General features: G+C 38.0%; 1 protein-coding gene across 10 annotated transcripts in view; it reads left to right on the forward strand.

Moving 5' to 3' along the window:
- UBR2 (ubiquitin protein ligase E3 component n-recognin 2) overlaps nt 1-20,652 on the forward strand; it is a 129,477-nt gene that overhangs the window by 72,514 nt on the left and 36,311 nt on the right. For 9 of the 10 annotated variants that reach the window (XM_017010594.2, XM_011514438.3, NM_015255.3 and 6 more), the window contains 12 exons: nt 469-652; nt 3,667-3,728; nt 5,040-5,150; nt 5,874-5,939; nt 7,672-7,794; nt 7,931-7,994; nt 8,924-9,048; nt 11,576-11,628; nt 13,742-13,844; nt 15,481-15,529; nt 15,949-16,103; nt 19,079-19,181. In XM_017010594.2, coding sequence (XP_016866083.1) covers nt 469-652; nt 3,667-3,728; nt 5,040-5,150; nt 5,874-5,939; nt 7,672-7,794; nt 7,931-7,994; nt 8,924-9,048; nt 11,576-11,628; nt 13,742-13,844; nt 15,481-15,529; nt 15,949-16,103; nt 19,079-19,181 — 1,198 coding nt within the window. Of the gene's footprint in view, nt 1-468; nt 653-3,666; nt 3,729-5,039; nt 5,151-5,873; nt 5,940-7,671; nt 7,795-7,930; nt 7,995-8,923; nt 9,049-11,575; nt 11,629-13,741; nt 13,845-15,480; nt 15,530-15,948; nt 16,104-19,078; nt 19,182-20,652 lie in introns of those variants that run through there. The other variant, XM_005248966.4, reaches the window with a different exon arrangement.

The following is a 20,652-nucleotide window of genomic DNA, read 5'->3' on the forward strand; positions in this document are numbered from 1 at the left end:
CTTCAACTCTTGCCCCCTTTATCCATTTTCCATACAGTGACATGATTCAATTTACATGTTTTTTAAAATTGCTCTGTATGGAGAATGGATGAAGGGGGCAAGAGTCAAAGCAGGAATTTAATAGAGAGACGCTTGGCAATGCCTTGGAGTTACTAGAGATAGAGAAAAGTAGCAAGTTTTGAGAGAAACTTAGAAGATGAAGTTGCCAGCTTGGTAATAGATTGGACAATGGGGAATGGGGGAAAGGAGGGTATTGGAATAACTTCTAGATTTCTGCACTATATGAGTAAATGTATCATTCACTGAGATGAGGGACACTGGAAGAGGGACCAAATTTGGGAGGGAGGATTGAGTTTGGTTTTGCCTATATTGTTATTTGAGGTACTTACTCACTGAATTTAAGGTGCTTATTCAATGTTGTAAAAACTCAACCTTTTGAGTAACTTACAGAAAAACCCTCTTTTTTAGGAAAAAGTGTTAATCGAAGCTTACAAGAAATGTCTCGCTGTACTGATGCAGTGTCATGGTGGTTATACTGATGGTGAACAGCCAATCACACTAAGCATTTGTGGACATTCAGTGGAAACTATCAGATACTGTGTTTCCCAAGAAAAAGTTAGCATTCACCTCCCAGTTTCTCGCTTACTTGCAGGTAAAGCATTTCCCCTAAAATAAAACCCTAAAATTATCTTTTAAATTGTTGTTTGTGGTTAATATCTGTGAATACTTACTTTGTGCCAGATGTTATTCTGTGATTTCTACATCATTAACTTATCCAATCATCACATCGTCCTGTGAAGTAGGTATTATTATTAAGCTTGCTTCATAGATGGGAAGACAGAGGCATAGAGAGTGACTTGCTTAGTAAGTCACACAACAAGAAAGAATCAGTTGGCATTATGAGGAAGTTTGGCACCAGAGGCCATGTTTATAGCCGTTATACCATAGTGCTTCTTTAGACAACTACAGATACCACGTTTTATCATTTCATCGAATCCAGCTTCAAAGTCTATGTTGTTACCATTCAAATTAATCTGTCACTTAAGCAATTGCTAATCATTTGAAGCCACCCTAGGTTTTCTATTCTCCTTTTTTTCCTCTCCCTCTGAGCTGTTTCATATATTTATTGATAGCTTTTTACGCAACAGGTCAAGAACAAGGACATAATGGGGTGATAATCTTTTAATTTCAAGTAGTTGATTTACAAGCCACTTGTAATTAATTGGTAGAATGTCTGAAGCTGCCATCTTATGTGGCCAAAGACTTTGAATATGCACTTATCCATCTCTGCAGACTCATTTCAGTACAGCTTTCATATTTCTTGATTCTAGGTATTCTTTTCTTGCTCGCACACTGTTGTTTTCTTTAGTTCCGTTTTAACTCAGAGAACAGAAAGAAATTTTGAAGGTATTTTTACTCATTGTAAAATATGTAGTTTATGTTAAGTTTGTGGCTCAGTAGCTTAATGTGATGTGAGGGTATGTTTTTTGTTTTGTTTTGTTTTTTTCTGGAGGAGATTGTAGAGAGTTTGTTTCATTTCTTCCTTAAATGTTTGACAGAATTCACCAGTGAAGTCATCTCATCTGATGCTTTAGGTTTTGGAAGGTTATTAATAATTGACTCAATTTCTTTAATAGATACGGGCCTGTTTAGGTTATCTTTTTCTCCTTGTGTGAGTTTTGGTAGTCTGTGTCTTTCAGGGAATTGATCCATTTCATCTAAGTTATCAGATTTGTGGGCCTAGAGTTGTTAATATTCCTTCATTATCCTTTTAATGTACATGGGGTCAGTAGTAATGATTCCTCTTTCATTCTGAAGGCATTTTTTTTCATTGTTCTGAGACCTATCACATTATCCCACTGATAGACCCTTGCCATGGGTATATTATTGAAGTCATGGTAATTTAAGATAATTACTTACTCTGAGGCTTATAAAGTTGTTATTCCTAGACATATGAATATCAAATGGTACAATAGACCATTACCTAGAATGAAATCATGATCGTAAGAAGAAATCTCTCTTATTTCTATAACTTGTTCAGGCCCAGTTTTGTTTTTATAAGTGTTTTGAGCAACTGAACTGTCAATCCTCAACACAGGCAATTGATGGCATGGTGTTGTGGAAAAGTATTGGACAGAAGGCAAGAAAGTGAGGCATGCGTGTGGAAGTAGCACGCAGGCGCAGCGTGGCATGCCCTGCACGTGCCCTTAAAAAAAAAAAAGGCAAGAAATTGAGTAATGAGTCCTGTCTCCAACTGAGCCACTGATCTCTTCTGCCTTTAAAAATCAGAGTGAGACTCTGTCTCAAAAAAAAAAAGTCTAATTTTATGGGAGGAAGCTGATGCTGATAGTTATCTACAGTGAAAAAAGTCAGTGCTCTAAAAATGTACTAATTTCTGCCTAGGTTTTTACCTCCCTCAAAGCTGTCGTGTGAATATTTTTGAGTATTCATTTCATGGTATTTCATAAACCTTAGCCTAACTGCTTATAATCTAATTGGAAATCTAAGTAAACCAACACAAAACAGTTCATGGACAGTTTGAAGCAAGTGCTAATGGAGTTTGTAAATGTTGAGCATTTACAACATTTACAAATGGAGCAGTAAATGTTGAGAATAAGCTATTAGAATGGCATTAGTAGTGCAAGTTTTCCTAGATGAAGAAAGCCTCAAACCAGGCTTGAGTAAATGGCCATTATATATTGATAAGACTTTAAAGGGTGTCCTCTGTTTAAGCAATAGCATAAACAACACATTCAGAATGAACTGAAGGCTGGGCGTGGTGGCTCATGCCTGTAATCCCAGCACTTTGGGAGGCCGAGGCCAGCAGATCACCTGAGGTCAGGAGTTCGAGACCAGCCTGGCCAACATGGCAAAACCCCGTCTCTACTAAAAATAAAAAAATTAGCTGGGCATGGTGGAGTGCACCTGTAGTCCCAGCTGCTCTGCTCAGGAGGCTGAGGCAGGAGAATCGCTTGAACCTGGGAGGCAGAGGTTGCAGTCAGCCAAGATCCCTTGAGGTTAGAAACTAATGAGGCTTTGATCCTAAACCAAAAGTTCTGGGGAACTTAATTCAAAGGTCAGTATCAGTAAGGACCGTGAATTCCAGGGCCAGTTTTTCCGATCAGTGGCCAGAAGGATCTCTCACTGCTATACTTTAAATGGGAACAAATTCCATGGCCCAGTGAAATACAACTCTTAAAGCTGGCATAACATGTATATAAATTGTTTTGATAGCTTTTAAAATGTCATTGGTGTGTATTAGTACATACAACTAAGACTAGTTCTAAGTGTGCCTTTGATAACAGATTCATGAGAAGCATTAAAAAGCCTCTTTTATTAGCCGGGTGTGGTGGCGGGTGCCTGTGGTCCCAGCTACTCGGGAGGCTGAGGCAGGAGAATGGCGTGAACCCGGGAGGCGGAGCTTGCAGTGATCCAAGATCGCGCCACTGCACTCCAGCCGGGTGACAGAGCGAGACTCCGTCTCAAAAAATTAATAATAATAATAAGCCTCTTATGAATATAGATCATTTTCTATCTTAATTGGTAATTTGATAGGTTCCCAAAGAGAAAAGAAGTTAGATATAAAGTTGAGTGAATATTTAGGGTATTTTTCCTAAATGATTTTTACTGATAGAAATACTGTTTTTTGTTTGTTCTTTCATGCAGGTTTACATGTATTATTAAGCAAAAGTGAAGTGGCATATAAATTTCCAGAGCTCCTACCTCTAGTAAGTGGTGCTTACATTTAAAAGTGAATACTTATTTATTATGTTCTTTGTATTTGGAATCACTTTGAAACACATTTTTAGTTTGGGTTCTCCAGAGGAACAGAACCAGTAAGGTGTGTGTGTGTGTGTGTGTGTGTGTGTGTGTGTGTGTGTGTGTGTGTGTGTATAGATACATATATAGAGAGAGAGAGACAGAGATTTGTTGTAAGGAACTGGCTCATGAAATTGTGGGGGCTGAAATCTGGCAAGTCTGAAATATGCAGGGGAGCCTAGCAGACTGGCAGACTGGAGAGACCCAGGGAAGAGTTGATGCTGCAGTCTTGAGTACAGTGGCTGTCATAAAGGCAGAATTCCTTCTTCCATGGGGGACGTCAGTCTTTTCTCAAGGCCTTCAACTGAACTGATGAAGCCCACCCATGTTTGGAGGGTAATCTGCTTTACTCAGAGTCTATGATTTTTTTTTATTTTTATTTTTTTGAGACAGAGTCTCACTCTGTCACCCAGGCTGGAATGCAGTGGCGCAATCTTGGCTCACTGCAACCTCTACCTCCATGGTTTAAGGAATTCTCCTGCCTCAGCCTCCCAAGAAGCTGGAATACAGGTGCCTGCCACCACTCCCAGCTAATTTTTGTATTTTTAGTAGAGACAGGGTTTCACCATGTTGCCCAGGCTGGTCTGGAACTCGTGATCTCAGGTGATCCACCTGCCTCAGCCTCCCAAAGTGCTGAGATTACAGGTGCGAGCTACCATGCTCAGCCAGTCTATGATTTAAATGTTAATCATGTGTAAAAAATACCTTCATAGCAACATTAGATTGGTGTTGACCATAAATGGGATATCATAGCCTTGCTAAGTTGATATATAAAACTAACCATCACACAAACATATCTTAAAATAATTAAAATAAATAAGGCCAGGCACAGTGGCCCACACCTGTAATCGCAGCACTTTGGGAAGCTGAGGTGGGTGGATCACCTGAGGTCAGGAGTTCAAGACCAACCTAGCCAACATGGCGAGTCCCCATCTCTACTAAAAATACAAAAATTGGCCAAGCGTGTTGGCTTATGCCTGTACTCCCAGCTACTCGGGAGGCTGAGGCAGGAGAATGGCTTGAACCTGGGAGGCCGAGATCGCACCACTGCACTAAAGCCTGGGTGACAGAGTGAGACTCTGTCTCAAAAAATAATAATAATAATAATTTATATTGTGTTTTATAAAAGCATTTATCTCTATCGACCAAACTTCTTTTTAGAACTGATTTTATGTGTGTGTTTTTTTTGTTTTCTGTTTTTTTATTTTTTGTATATATAGAGTGAACTTAGCCCACCCATGTTGATAGAACACCCTCTTAGATGTCTTGTTCTGTGTGCCCAAGTACATGCCGGAATGTGGAGAAGAAATGGGTTCTCTCTAGTAAACCAGGTAAGTGTTTTCTAATTCTATGAAGAGTTTTCATTCCATTCTTGGCTTCTGTGAAGGTTGTAATTTTCAGTGGACTTAGTCAGTGAAAGCTGAGTATCTATATTAAAATTGTTTGAAAAGATTAATGATAAAACAAAAAGTTTCTTAAAACTTTTATTCATAGTTTGTCAAGAAATAATGGAAAAAGTAGAAATGAACAACAGTGGTCATGACTTTTACTTGAAATAATTTTTTGGGACAAAGTTGGATATTAAAAAATAAAAACCCAGATTTTATCTATTTAAATCAAATTGAATTAAAAGATAAAAGGCCTTTTAATATAGCTGTAAAATTGAGGTTTTACTTTTTATAGACCTCACATAGGCTTGGAATGAATTTTTTTTTTTCCAAGATCAGACAAGATCTGGCACATTTGGGGTGGTATAGCCATAAACAGATTTTGTTTTTCTCCTGTGTTTGGTAGCTCCTAACCTTCCTGAGACCACAACCTTTTACTTTATTCAGAAACCCAGCAAGTTAGCTGCAAAATGTGAACCATATCATGACCACTGTAATGTGAAAATCTGTAATTAATTAATCTTTACTAAGATAATGTTAATTGTTAGAGAAACCACATCACACACATGCACACATTCTTGTACAAACTTGTGCTTTTGGGGAAGGATTAGAGAGAGCCTGAGCCAATAAAAACTATTTACTCAATATAATTACTTTTTTTTTTAGATTTATTACTACCATAATGTGAAATGCAGACGTGAGATGTTTGACAAGGATGTAGTAATGCTTCAGGTAATGAATTAAAAGCATTGAACTTAAAGGTTGTGGGGAATCTTTGCTTCTTGTTATTTCCATAGAATTCAGTCACTTGTGATCACTCCCAAATCTACAACTCCAGCCTAGCCCTGTCTCCTCAGCTCCAAACTCATATGGCTAACAGCCTTTAGATCATTTCCATCTATATTTCCTAGACACACTTCATATTAAACGTATTCAGAATAACTCCTCATGTTTCCTCCATACCTTCTTCCTGTCTTCACTTCCCTACCTTGGTGAATTGTTCCACAGTCTACCTAGTTGCTAAAGTCATATACCTGAAAGCCATCCTTTCTTCATTGTCCTCTGGTTCTTTAACTAATGTACTAATGTTAAACCTCTTAGTTTAAACCCCTTAAACTAATTTTCAGGACTGCGATACTTAACTGCATTGAAGTTCCCTGAATTTGCCATATTCTCATACATCTTAAACTCTGCGTATTTATTTCTTTTGCTCCCTAAGTTACCCACCCCTTCTTTTTCCATTTACGTAGCTAACTTATTTTCCTGCTTGTCTTTGTGTTTACTTTAGCATTACTTCCTCCAGGAAGCCTTCCCTGACACACTAAAACTTGGCTACGTGTCCCTTTTGTGAGGACCCTAGCATGGTATTTAACCCTGCCGTAGCACTCACAACCCTGGACTGTGATTACTGTTTACTCTTCAGCACCCTACCCCCACCCCACCAAACCATGGCAGTTATATCTTGTTTCTTTTTTTGTCCCTTTTGCCTTGCATAGTGCTTGTCACATAGTAGTTGTTCTCTGATACTGCTGAATGGATTTAGTCATTATAGAAAAATAAAGCTGGCTAGGCACAGAGGCTCACACCTGTAATCCCAGCCTTTTGGGAGGCTGAGGCGTGTGGATCACCTGACGTCAGGAGTTTGAGTCCAGCCTGGCCAACATGGTGAAACCCTGTCTCTACTAAAGTTACAAAAATTAGCCTGGCATGGTGTCATGCGCCTGTAGTCCCAGCTACTTGGGAGGCCAAGACAGGAGAATCACTTAAACTTGGGAGGCGGAGGTTGCAATGAGCTGAGATCACTCCACTGGACTCCAACCTGGGCGACAGAGTGAGACTCCGTCTCAAAAAATAAATAAATAAAAATAAAGTCAAGAAATGTATATTTCAAAAAAATATTAGTTCAGAATAAAATCTAGGTTTATTTATAATTTATACAAATGGAATTAAAAGAGAATTGAAACTAATATTTAAAAGCTGTCACTTCAGTCAGTATAATGCTTGCCAGAAAAAAATAGGTTAGGAGATCTTGATAATAGTTTAATATGATCTGTATTTTTAAAATACTAGAAGGTTACTTAATATACCACATTTCCAAGTCCAAACGGTGATCAGAGAACCCCAAAATAAAATTTTGGCACTGAATTCATAGGAATACAATTATTTTAAAGCATTAGAAGGAAAGAGAACTCATAGTCTGTGTTACTGTGCTGGGTGGGCTTAGGTTTGGGGCTTGTTTGTATTTTGTTTTACCAATTTAGATTCCTTTCCACACTTGCCTGCTACCACAAGTAAGGATTGAGGTTAAATGGGTTTTCATCTTTTATTGGGATTGGTGAACCTTTTAGGATTGGTAAACTGCTTTCTCTTGGGCAAGCCAAACTATCTCTCACTAATTGTTTCAATAGTGGCCCCTTTGACCTTCCTCTTTTCCTTTATCTCAAACATTAAAAAAAAAAAAAAGACAGGTGTCTCCATGATGGATCCAAATCATTTCCTGATGATCATGCTCAGCCGCTTTGAACTTTATCAGATTTTCAGTACTCCAGACTATGGAAAAAGATTTAGTTCTGAGATTACCCATAAGGTAAGAACGTGTTTTATGAAACCACAACACATTGCTAAAGAAGCATCTTTCCTTCTTTTTGGATATGTTAATCCTCTGAGATTATGCAATATGCATATTCTTATCTCTGAACTTTATCTTCCCTCACTTGTTATAGGATGTTGTTCAGCAGAACAATACTCTAATAGAAGAAATGCTATACCTCATTATAATGCTTGTTGGTAAGTTTAAATTGTTTGAGGCATTTAATAAATTACACTGACGTTTATAGTAGCAAATAGTTTGGAATTTCTGGCCTGTGTTTCCTTTGTTTTGAGAGGATGCTCAGTCTTAGGGGAAGAGAATTGGAATATTTCTCTTTTTCTCCCCTCTGGTTACTGTAATATTGAGAGTAATAGCACCGTGGTGCTTTGGAAGAAGGAGAAAATACAACTACTGAAGCAGAATAAACTGGAAGACTGTATTTTGCGAGGTGGTGGTAGGGGGAGCGGGGGACAGGAGAATTTAGCAATCAAGGAATAGGATATTTAAGATCTATTTACTCTTGATTTATATCTTAACTATGTTTCTCTCCATGGGTTTGTGGTACAAAAGTATCTTCTTGACTTCAGATACAATAATTCCAAGCTAAAGGAGACCTGTGGCTAATAGATGTGGATTTCTTCCCTTATTACCTATATTTTCAGTCCTTTACTACTGTTTTAGACCCCCTGCAGTCCATAGAGCAGAGAATCCTGGCTACTGTCAGGAGATGATACCAATGAAGAAAGTCTCCGAAGTTGATATTTTATTTGCCACTAGATAGTAGGGGAAAGGAAGGCTCTCTCTCCTTGCTGCCACAAGGAGAATGGGGTAAATGCAGTTTCCTTGACCACATTTAATCCCTTCCCACATTTCTGATCCCATTCTTTCAAAACAGCAGAAAGAGCTCTCTCCACTACCTAAAGCCTGCCCTCACGTTTTGGGTCTGAGACACAGAAGCATGGTCAGGAGCTGCTCTCTCCCTGGCTTATTGCAGAACAGTCATTACTTTCCCATTGCTCAGACAGACTTAGAGAAATATAACATGCTGCATGAATTATAAGTATATATCACGAAAGTATTGTGATTATGTTAAATGTATGTATATGTACTTTTCCATTTTTGACAGGAGAGAGATTTAGTCCTGGAGTTGGACAGGTAAATGCTACAGATGAAATCAAGCGAGAGATTATCCATCAGTTGAGTATCAAGCCTATGGCTCATAGTGAATTGGTAAAGTCTTTACCTGAAGATGTAAGTACCTACATTTCTAAAAAGAAAACCATAGAAACTTTTCCCTGCCTATCAGTCTAGTATCTATAGATTTACTTCTGTATACCTTTCTCACAATTGTAAAATCTATTGTCATGGGATGTGTATAATTCCGGTCACTCTTATTATGAATAATTAGAAAAAGAGAATAGGAGTAGAAAACAGAATAGTAATAGAATCTTTTACAATAAAGCCTTGAGGAAGATAAGGACACTAAACAAAAAGTAGCCCAAACCTCAGAACTAAGGTTTGTACCCCACAGAAAGAGGTCATTATAGGGTCTTTAGTACAAAGTTGCTATGGGTGTGGATAATGCTTTGTAACCTAGTATATTGAGGAAGGGAGTCAGAAGTGCCTACTCACCTATACTGAGTAGAATAAATAATGTTTTCCTAAGCTTTTTCCTTCTTGGCCTCCAGAGAGTCTTCTTAATGACGAGCCCTTGTTTCATTTTAGTGAATGCAAAATAATAGTGAAAAGGACATTCATAGGTTAAATTGCAACTGTTTTTCCTTCCAGGGGTGATAAGTTCCCCAGCAACCTATATTTCAGCCATGGGGTTTTTCAGAAACTCAACCCTTATAATTGAGAAGAGACTTTATTTTCATTGAGGCTTTTCAAAATGTTTGCCCTAATTTGAAACATAGATCAAAACCTTCAACCTTAATTAACATTTATTTTTCTGAGATTTCAACCTATCTTATCTTTGTTGCATAGTAATACTTTTAAACTTTGTATTATAAATATTTCAAACATCTATAGAGATTAAAAAATGTAGTATAACAAACCCATCACCAGCTTCAACAGAGGCCAGTCTGGTTTCATCTATACCCAACCACTAACCTCTGTGCCCCACTGTATTATTTCCTAGAGAATACTATATTTACCATTTCATCTATAAATAGGACTATATGTATCTAAAACAGTGATTCTCAACTGAGGACAATTTTGCCCCCCAGGGGACATCTGTGAATGTTACTACTCAGGGCAGGATGTGGAATGCTACTGGTATCTAGTGGGTAGAGGCCAGGGATACTGCTAAACATCCTACAATACCCAGGACAACCCCCTACAACATATCTGATCTGAATGTCAGTAGTGCTGAGGTTGAAAAACTCTGATCTAGAAAATGAGGACTCTTAAAAACCCTATCTTTATGTTATCACACTTTTAAAAACAATAATTTATATATATATGTTTATATATATATATAGAGAGAGAGAGAGAGAGAGAGATAGAGTCTGGCTTGGTCACCCAGGCTGGAGTACAATGGCATGGTCTTGGCTTACTATAACCTCTGCCTCCCGAGTTCAAGCAATTCTCATGCCTCAGCCTCCCAAGTAGCTGGGATTACAGGCGCACGCCACCATGCCCGGCTAATTTTTGTGTTTTTAGTAGAGATGGGGGTTCTCTATGTTGTCCAGGCTGGTCTCGAACTCCTGGCCTCAAGTGATCTGCCCACCTCAGCCTCCCAAAGTGCTGGGATTACAGGCATAAGCCACCACACCTGGCCGAATGATGAATAATTCCTTAATGTCACTAAATATCTAGTCAAGATAAAAATTACTTGTACTGCTTTAATGCAGGAAGTGAATCCCAAGTTGTTCAATTAGGAAGCAGTTATAATTTAGCCTAAGCTTTAAGGAACAATAAAATTTCAAAAAGCATTTTTTAAGTGGTTTAAGATTGTCGGCCGGGCACAGTGGCTCACGCCTGTAATCCCAACACTTTGGGAGACCAAGGTGGGCGGATCAGGAAGTCAGGAGTTTAAGACCAGCCTGGCCAACACAGTTAAACCCCATCGCTACTAAAAAAAAAAAAAAAAAAAAAAAAAAAAATTAGCCAGGTGTGGTGGCAGGCGCCTGTAATCCCAGCTACTTGGTAGGCTGAGGCAGGAGAATTGCTTGGACCTGGAAGGTGGAGGTTGCAGTGAGCCAAGATCATGCCATTGCACTCCAGCCTGGGTAACAATGTGAGACTCTGTCTCAAAAAAATAAAAAATAAAGTGATTGTAACTGTATTTCCCAAACATTTTAAAGAATTATTTATTCACAGAATTCCTATTAATATCTTATCGTGAATGAGATATGATTGGGGAAGTGCTGTTGTACTGAAAATAGACAAGAAATTAGTGCAACTATTTTATAAAATACCAGACGTATTTTACATAAACTTTTTTAAATGTTTTATATACTTTGTGTTTTCATTTAATTCCTTTAGAAAGCTCTTACCTTGATTCTATATGGCAGTGACTTTTTAAAAATCATAAAGTTTTATCTATTTTATGTATTTAAAAATAATACATCAATTTGAATAAACATCAGCTTGCCGAGTAAGTATGTCTAGTTTTGTATTAATCATTGTATTTGCTATGGAATCCTCATCTGTAAAAATGGAGATAAGGTGTATCTACCTTAGGTTGTTATGAGGGTCAATGAGATAAAACACAATGCTAAGAGTGCTAGTAGTTATTATTAACATGAAACACACTTGTGTCCTGTACCTTTAGGAGAACAAGGAGACTGGCATGGAGAGTGTAATCGAAGCAGTTGCCCATTTCAAGTGAGTTTACTTCCTATTATTTCACATTCTTTTTTACTTTTCCAGTACATTCATTTTTCTTAGAGTGTTTTCTTTGATGCAACTGAGAATGAAGTTGCAGCTTTCAGAGATTGACAGACATTTTCAAATTATAGCTCTGAATTAGATTTCTCACTGACATTTCACTTTTCTGATCTCACCCTGTACTCAGCAACGTAAAGTGACATTGTGAGGGTTTTCGTCACATTCAGAATAGGTGTTCATAGCTGATGGTTTCAAATAGTAAAAATTAACCTCAGCAGTGATCTAAGTAAATGCATTGTAATTTCTTAAAACTGTTTTGTTTCCATTTGAATGTGCTGCCTAAATTGTGGGATAGCCTCTCAATGCCACCTTCTCCAGTGTCCACAGTCTTCCCCCAGTCAATAAACTGGTTTATACCCTTAAAGATATTAAAGCAGTTTCTTAAGCCTGTTTTTTCTTTGCTTCCTACCCCAATGACAATGTATTCATTTTTTTTAACCCACTATAAATTTTTGAAGATAGTGTCTTTATTTTTTGTTGGTTATAAAGACAATACTTGCTTTTAGGAAAAATACAAAGAAAAAATATTACCTGTAATCCAACCACTCAGATGATTTCTATTATGTTTAGATGTATATCTTTCTAAATTTTTTTTCTATACTTGGAACACATATTTATAACAAAAAATGGGTTCATTTCGTATTTACTATTCTATAACCTTTTTAAAAATTAAATAATGGAATGTTTCCATGTATTTGTGTCTTTGGGGGGGCGGGTTGTTGGTTTTATTGGGTTTTTTTAGTTTTTACATAATATACTTTGTCAGTACATATAGGCATACTTCATCCTTTTTCACTTCAGCCTGGGTAACAAAGCGAGACTCAAGTGCAGTGGCACGGTCTTGGCTCACTGCAACCTCCGCCTCCTAGGTCCAAGCAATTCTCCTGCCTCAGCCTCCCAAGTAGCTGGGATTACAGGCGCCCGCCACCACACCTGGCTAATTTTTGTATTTTTAGTAGACATGGGGTTTCACCATGTTGACCAGGCTGGTCTCAAACTCCTAACTTCAGATGATCCAGCCCGCCTCGGCCTCTCAAAGTGCTGAGATTACTGGCATGAGCTATGGTGCCAGGCCCTTTTTCACTTCCTTGTAGTCATGTACTGTAATGTATCTAACCTCTTCCCTATAATACATAGCTTCCAGATTTTCTCTTATAAACAAATATTGAAAATCCTTGTACATACAGCATTAACAAATGTATCTTTGACTGTGAAAGTGTTTCTTTGAGGATTAGCTAGATCAAAATGAAAGCTTGTATTACATTTTGGTACATACCTCCTAATTGCCTTCCCAAAAAAGTCCTCGATTTACACTCTGACTAGAAGTGTATAAAGAGTGCCCTGCAACTTTGTCAACACTTTAATATGAGCAGTCTTTTAGTACCTTATTTTAATTTGCGTTACTCTAAGTGAAGTTGAGCTTCTTTTCATGTGTTTATTGGCCGTTTATTTTTTCATACTTTAATGCATTTTTCTTTATGGTTGTTTGTCCCTATCTTATTGTTCCGAAAGTATTATATATTAGAAATGTCAATTCTTATTTAATACATCACAGTACTTTCTTCCAGTCTCCCTTGTTTTTTAACTTTCTGTTTTTAAAACTCTGTCTCAATTGGCTTCTGGGTTTTATAACTTGCTTAGGAAAGTTCTCTAAACCCCAATAGTGTACCTGCTTTTTTCTGCTTAATAGAACAACACGGAAGTCTTTACATGTGAAAATAGAGAAATTATCACTGTTAATGGTGTTCAGTTGTTTGGAGATGTTGTAATTTGTTATTTCACGTTATTAGACTTTTTAATTGTTGCCACTGCAGTGTCCATCACGTTCACTTGTCTAGTTAGGATAAATTCCAAGTGGGCATGCTAAATAAAACAGATGCATGTAGAACTCGGATTTAGACTGCCAAATCAACCCACTGAAAATAGTTGTAGCTTAACACCCACCAGCAGTATATGAGAGCTCTGCTTTCTTGTTCTAATATCCAAGACTATCTCTCATAAATTAGTGTATGGCTTTGGTAATAATATTCTAAGGTCCTTTCTTTCACAGGAAACCTGGATTAACAGGACGAGGCATGTATGAACTGAAACCAGAATGTGCCAAAGAGTTCAACTTGTATTTCTATCACTTTTCAAGGGCAGAACAGTCCAAGGTAATTGGGAAAATTAAAAATGTAGCAGGGAAGGATTGCATTGTTTTTCTTAAGAGATGAGGTTTCACCATGTTGCCCAGGCTAGAGTTTGGTGGCTATTCACAATGCCATTATAGAGCATTGCAACCTCAAACTCCTGGGCTCAAGCAATTCTCCCACCTCAGCCTCTTGAGTAGATGAGATTACAGGCATGCACCACTGTATCTGGCTTGAATTTTTTTTTCCTAAACAACTTTTTTACTGCTTTTGCAGATTGAAAAATGATACATTTTTATTGTAGGGGATTTGGAAAATATAAAATATAAAGAAGAAAGTAGAAATTACTTAAAATACCCTCACCTAACATTTTGGAGTTACCCCCTAGCGTTTTGTACATATGTATATACGATCTATATAATACATACCTTTACGTATATGGGTATAGTTTTTTAAAACAAATTTTCAACCTGTATTATAATCAGTTAATCCATTTTATGCACATTTCAGAATTGGTATTATTTAACACTTTTTCATAGAGATTCATGGAGCTTTTCTAATCATTCCTAGGTAATTAAATTTTGCCTTTTTGGTGGGGCATGTAATCCCAGCACTTTGGGAGGCTGAGGCGGGCAGATCGCTTGAGCTCAGGAGTTCGAGATCAGCCTGGCCAACATGTTGAAATCCCATGTCTACTAAAAATACAAAAATTAGCCAGGCATGGTGTCATGCACTTCTCGTCCCAGCTACTCAGGAGGCTGAGATAGGAGGATCACTTGAGCCCAGGAGGTCAAGACTGCAGTGAGCTATGATTGCACCACTGCATTCCAGCTTGGATGATGGGAGTGAGACCGTATCTCAAAAAAAAAAAAAAAATCTGCCTTTTAGCAGTCTCCTCTTAAAATGGTTTTTCAATAAACAGCATTAAATAAAACTTAAACATAAAGCTTTTATTTAGTTTTTGATGAAGTCATAGAGTTCAAACTTAAATAAGTTTGTACTTATTTAAGTACATGTTTCCCTTCTAATTTAAAGTAATAGAGAACTCGTTTGGAGATTCTTTTAGTTAAAAAAAAAAATTAACCTTGATGTATCCGTTTGGGGGAGGACTAGAACTTAAAGATAGATATCTTTTTTATTTTTTATTTTTTTTGAGATAGGGTCTCACTCTGTTACCCAGGCTGGAGTGCAGACCTCGGCTCACTAGAGCCCCTGCCTCCCAGGTTCAAGCAATTATCCTGCCCCAGCCTTCTGAGTAGCTAGGATTACAGGTGTGTGCCACCACGCCCAGCCAATTTTTGTATTTTTAGTAGAGATGGGGATTCTCCGCGTTGGCCAGGCTGCTCTCGAACTCCTGACCTCAGGTGATCCACCTGTCTTGGCCTCCCAAAGTGCTGGGATTACAGGTGTGAGCTGCCACGCCCCGGCCTCTGTTGTGTTATTTTCTGATTTTAGATGTTCATCCTTGGCCAGACACATTGGCTCATGCCTGTAATCCCAGCACTTTGGGAGGTTGAGGTGGGCAGATCACAAGGTCAGGAGTTCAAGACCAGCCTGGCCAACATAGTGAAACCCCACCTCTACTAAAAATATAAAAATTAACCAGGTGTGGTGGTGGGCATTACTAATTCCCGGTCCAAATAACTTTATTTTTTATTAGGCAGAAGAAGCGCAACGGAAATTGAAAAGACAAAATAGAGAAGATACAGGTATTTTTAATCTTTCTGAAAATGTCTTGCCCATCTTTTTTGCTTGTTAAACATTGTTTTCTGTTAACTATGATGATTGTCCTTGGTGGAATGAATATTTAAATGTAAGCTTTCCTAGTGAATAACCTCCTATTCAGAGGAATAATAAATATGTTAACACAGAAATAGTTTGTGCTAAGTCCTCTGGGTTGATGTTATCTCAGATCTTAAGACCTTTCTAGGGGAAAAGATAGACTTTCTTCTGTACTGCTGCTACTTTCGTGGCTCTTTTTATGCATTTGACCTTGAGAATGTAAAATAATAGCTTTAAGGTGTGTGTTAATGAATATTCTTTGAGTTAAAACTATCAAAAGTAACAAAGAGATAGTTTCTAAAGCATGTTCTGTAAAAGAAACCAATAATAACAACTGTATTTTCAGCACTCCCACCTCCGGTGTTGCCTCCATTCTGCCCTCTGTTTGCAAGCCTGGTTAACATTTTGCAGTCAGATGTCATGTTGTGCATCATGGGAACAATTCTGCAATGGGCTGTGGAACATAATGGATATGCCTGGTCAGAGTCCATGCTGCAAAGGGTAGGTTTGAAGACATTTATTATTTATATTTTAGTATTTTATAGTACAAGCAAAATATTCTTGTCTGTATCTATACACAGGAAAACTAGGCCGAAATGTATTGTGTTTTCCTAACTTGAATATATTGTTACTGCTTTTGTGTCTGACAGTAAAAACAAGTGCCAGACAGATTTTTTTATACCACATGGTTGTTATTACCTCAGTCCCACTGGGCAGTTGTTCTCTCCTAGATTGGTCCTTGTCTTTATATATGTAGTATTCTGATATTGATATAATGTGTTATCTTTTATATATGTTTCTAATCTAATTATTTTCCAAAACAAAAATTTTTTTTGAATCATCCATATCCTTATTTTGTAGTTGAAGAAACTGACACTCATAGACTTACGGTCCTATAGCTAGTTAAGTGGCAAGTCTGGAACCTTGTTTGTGTTATTTTTGTTTTTGTGTTTTTGAGACAGGATCTAGCTTTGTCACCCAGGAAGCTGGAGTGCAGTGGTGCAATCTTGGCTCACTGCAACCTCTGCCTCCTGGGTTCAAGTGATCCCGCCACCTCAGTATCCCAAGTACCTGGGATTACAGGCATGCATCACAACATCTGCGTAATTTCTGTATTTTTGGTAGAAACAGTTTTGCCATGTTCCCCAGGCTGGTCTCAAACTCCCAGACTCAAGCAATCCTCCCCCCTCGGCCTCCCCAAGTATTGGGATTACATGCGTGAGCCACTATGCCCAGCCCCTTGTTTGTATTTTACTTTATAGTTTTAATGTAAGCCGTTCGTACACTATCTCATTGAATTCACACAACACCCCATGAATAGATACAACTTTTTTCTCATTGTTAGATGAGGAAGCCAAGTTTCAATGAGGTTCCATTAACTTCCCATATTAATCTACTAAGTGATATAACAATTATTCATTAAATAGAATGCCTACTTTATGCCTTATTCCATGCTAAGCCCTTTTTTTTTTTTTTTTTTTTTTTTTTTTGAGACAGTTTTGCTCTTGTCACCCAGGCTGGAGTACAATGGTGTGATCTTGGCTCACTGCAACTTCTGCCTCCCGGGTTCAAGCAATTCTCCTGCCTCAGCCTCCCAAGTAGTTGGGAGTACAGGTGCCTGTCACGAAGCCCAGCTAATTTTTTGTATTTTTAGTAGAGACAGGGTTTCACCACGTTGGCCAGGCTAGTCTCGAACTCCCAGCGTCAGGTGATCCACTCACCTTGGCCTCCCAAAGTGCTAGGATTACAAGGCGTGAGCCACCGTGCCTGGCCATGCTAAGCACTCTGCATACAGTATTTGTAATCCTCAGAACTCTAGAGGGAAGCTTTGTTTTTCCAAGGCTAAAGATGATGACTTGGGCTCAGAGGCGTTCCCTTAGGGTATATATTAATAGCTTGAAAGCAGTAAAACCAGGATTCAGATTCAAATTTTGGAGCCCTCCTCGGGAGGCTGAGTAGCTATCATTCTTTCTTTTTGTCTCACTGGCTAAGATGTGTGTATTCTTATAATGCCCTCCTATTTATCTATAAGCATATTTAAAGTGTAAAAGCATGGAGCTGTGGTGTACTAGCTCACTACTAGTACAGCTGTACTAGCTGTCGTGTACTGTCAGCATTACATGAACAAAAGATTTGTGGGAAATAATGGAGAGAAGAGGTGTGAACAATATTTACCTTACATGTACACTTGCTTTATGTCACCTAGTTCTTCCAAGTCTCTGACAACCACAGTCATCCCATGTGAAGGGAAAGATACAGAGACATCACACACATATCTCCTTCAAAATCTGGGGTGTGGGCCCGGCACAGTGGCTCACCCCTGTAATCCTAACACTTTGGGAGGCCAAGGCGGGTAGATCACTTGGGGTCGGGAGTTCAAGACCAGCCTGTACAACATGGTAAAACCCCATCTCTACTAAAAATAAAAAAATTAGCCAATCGTCATGGCACATGCTTATAATCCCAGCTACTCAGGAGGGCTCAGGAGAATCACTGGAAACTGGGAGGCAGAGGTTGCAGTGAGCCAATATTGTGCCACTGCACTCTAGCCTGGGCAACAGAGGGAGACTCCGTCTCAAAAAACAAAAAAACTTGGGCATGGGATAAGAGCAGTAAAAAAACAAATAGGTTGATACAGTCTCTAGAAGTCTGGTCAGGAATATTTTGTGAGATACACTGAAGAACTATAAAGTTTATAAATGATAAGGCATTAGAGATAAAAGTTTGTCTTTCTCAGATGATGAAGATTTAGTCCTTAGAGAAATTAGGTAGTGTCATAGACTGGATAATTACATGGGGGATACGTTTAGCTTTATAATTACTTGACCACTAATTCTTGGAAGGTTTTTTTAAGTCTGTAGTATAGGTATAGAATAAAACTTACATATTATGTGAATTGCTGGTCACAGCTGGTGTAATTTTAGCTTACCCTGAGGATTTGCAATTGAAATTTCTTCCTCATTGAAGTAGAAAATTTTGTTTTTCTTGACAATAATTGTTTGTTAGAAAATAAACCTCAGTCTTTTCATTTAATAAAAATTAGTACTTCAAGGCCGGGCATGGTGGCTCACGCCTTTAATCCCAGCACTTTGGGAGGCCAAGGTGGGCGGATCACTTGAGGTCAGGAGTTCAAGACCAGCCTGGCCAACATGGTGAAACCCCATCTCTACTAAAAGTACAAAAATTAGCCGGGTGTGGTGGCACGCGCCTGTAGTCCCAGCTACTCGGGAGGCTGAGGCAGGAGAATCACTTGAACCTGGGAGGCAGAGGTTGCAGTGAGCCTGGGTGACAGGGCAAAACTCCATCTCAAAAAAAAAAAAAAGAAAAAAAAATTAGTACTTCAAATTGTTTTTAATTGCATTTAGTATTTCATAGTTTGATTTATCTTTTTCAATAATTCTTTTTTCCTATTTCTTATTAAAATATGTACTTGATTTTTTAAATTTTTACTAAAAGTTACAAAACATTTATTCAAGGTGTTACATTTAATTGGCATGGCACTACAAGAAGAAAAACAACATTTAGAGAATGTCACGGAAGAGCATGTAGTAACATTTACCTTCACTCAGAAGATATCAAGTATGTATATATCTTTTTACTAAACTAACTCAAGATATAAATGATTTTAAGAAATCACTTAATAACCTCTTTTATTTGATCATATAGATTCTAAAAGGGTAATATTTAATCCAAACATTTGAGGCTATATGTACTCATCTGTGTAGTAAAGGTACTGTATTAAACCCTGATACATTTTTATAAAAATATCTAGGGCTAAGTTCAAAGTTACAGTCAGCTGTGGTTGACGTAAGATTCTACAGTATTGAAAATAAAAAAAAATTATAGGGGATTAGATTGTCATTTCATATAAAGAAATGTGACTTTTTAAAAGAAGGCCAGGGAGTTTTTCTAGCTTTTTATTTTAAAAATTTCATACATATAGACAAGTTGAAAGAATTGTCCAGTAAACATTCATATACCTGCTCCCTAGATTCAGTAGTTTGCTATATTTGCTTTTATATTTACATACTTTCTTGAACCATTTGTTGTAGACATAATATTTCATGTCTCAAAGAAAAGCTTCTCATTTACTAATTTTCAGAACCAGCCATTGGTCTGATAGTTACCTGCAATTGTGGCAATTTTGAATGTTTTTTGTTTAGAGTTTTTTTAAATATTATTCATGGATTTTTATTCAGTGTTTTATAGTCACTTATAATGGGTATTCCTTTTGATGCTCAAATTATGCCCATTTTGGTCAGTGGGAGTTTATTTAGTCAGCTTCTGTGTCCTTTTCACCCAGCCCCATTTGTATTTGAGTACCACCTCGCTTTCCAGCCCAAAAGATGCCCAAGCTCATCTTGTACTTTCCCTGCCACAGACCTGTAGTCAGCCATTTGCTGAAGTGTTTTTAAATGAATTGATGGTGCTATGATAGGAGTTTATAAATGCTTTGATTGAAAAGGATTATTTCTGTAACTGTGTTCAGTGCCATTTCTTCCTAAACGATAACTGTGAGAATTATACTACCAGGGGACAAGGAGGAAGTAATTTTGTTTGCTGCTAGATCTCTAGTTTTCCTTTTTGCCCTCATCCAAGTAAATGAGAGAAAGAGGAGAAACCACCTTTTCCCACTGAAGACTTTATTCTTGGATGCCAGTTTTTACCTATTCTTTTTCTCTGCCATATTTTCTTTGGATTAATACTGTTGTTTTTGCTTTCTTTGTTTCTGGTGTGTTTATTTTAGAATAACCACACAGAATACTCCCTAATTTCATTCACTCATCACTATAAAATATTAGGTTCTTGGCCAGGCATGGTGGCTCACTCCTGTAATCCCACCACTTTGGGAGATCAAGGTGGATGAATCACCTGAGGTCAAGAGTTCGAGACCAACCTGGCCAACATGACGAAACCCTGTCTCTACCAAAAATACAAAAATTAACCGGGCATGGTGGCGGGCGCCTATAATCCCAGCTGCTCGGGAGGCTGAGGCAGGAAAATCGCTTGAACCCAGGAGGTGGAGGTTGCAGTGATCCGAGATTACACC

Source organism: Homo sapiens, chromosome 6 (genome assembly GCF_000001405.40).
Source record: "Homo sapiens chromosome 6, GRCh38.p14 Primary Assembly".
NCBI classification, from domain to species: Eukaryota; Metazoa; Chordata; class Mammalia; order Primates; family Hominidae; genus Homo; species Homo sapiens.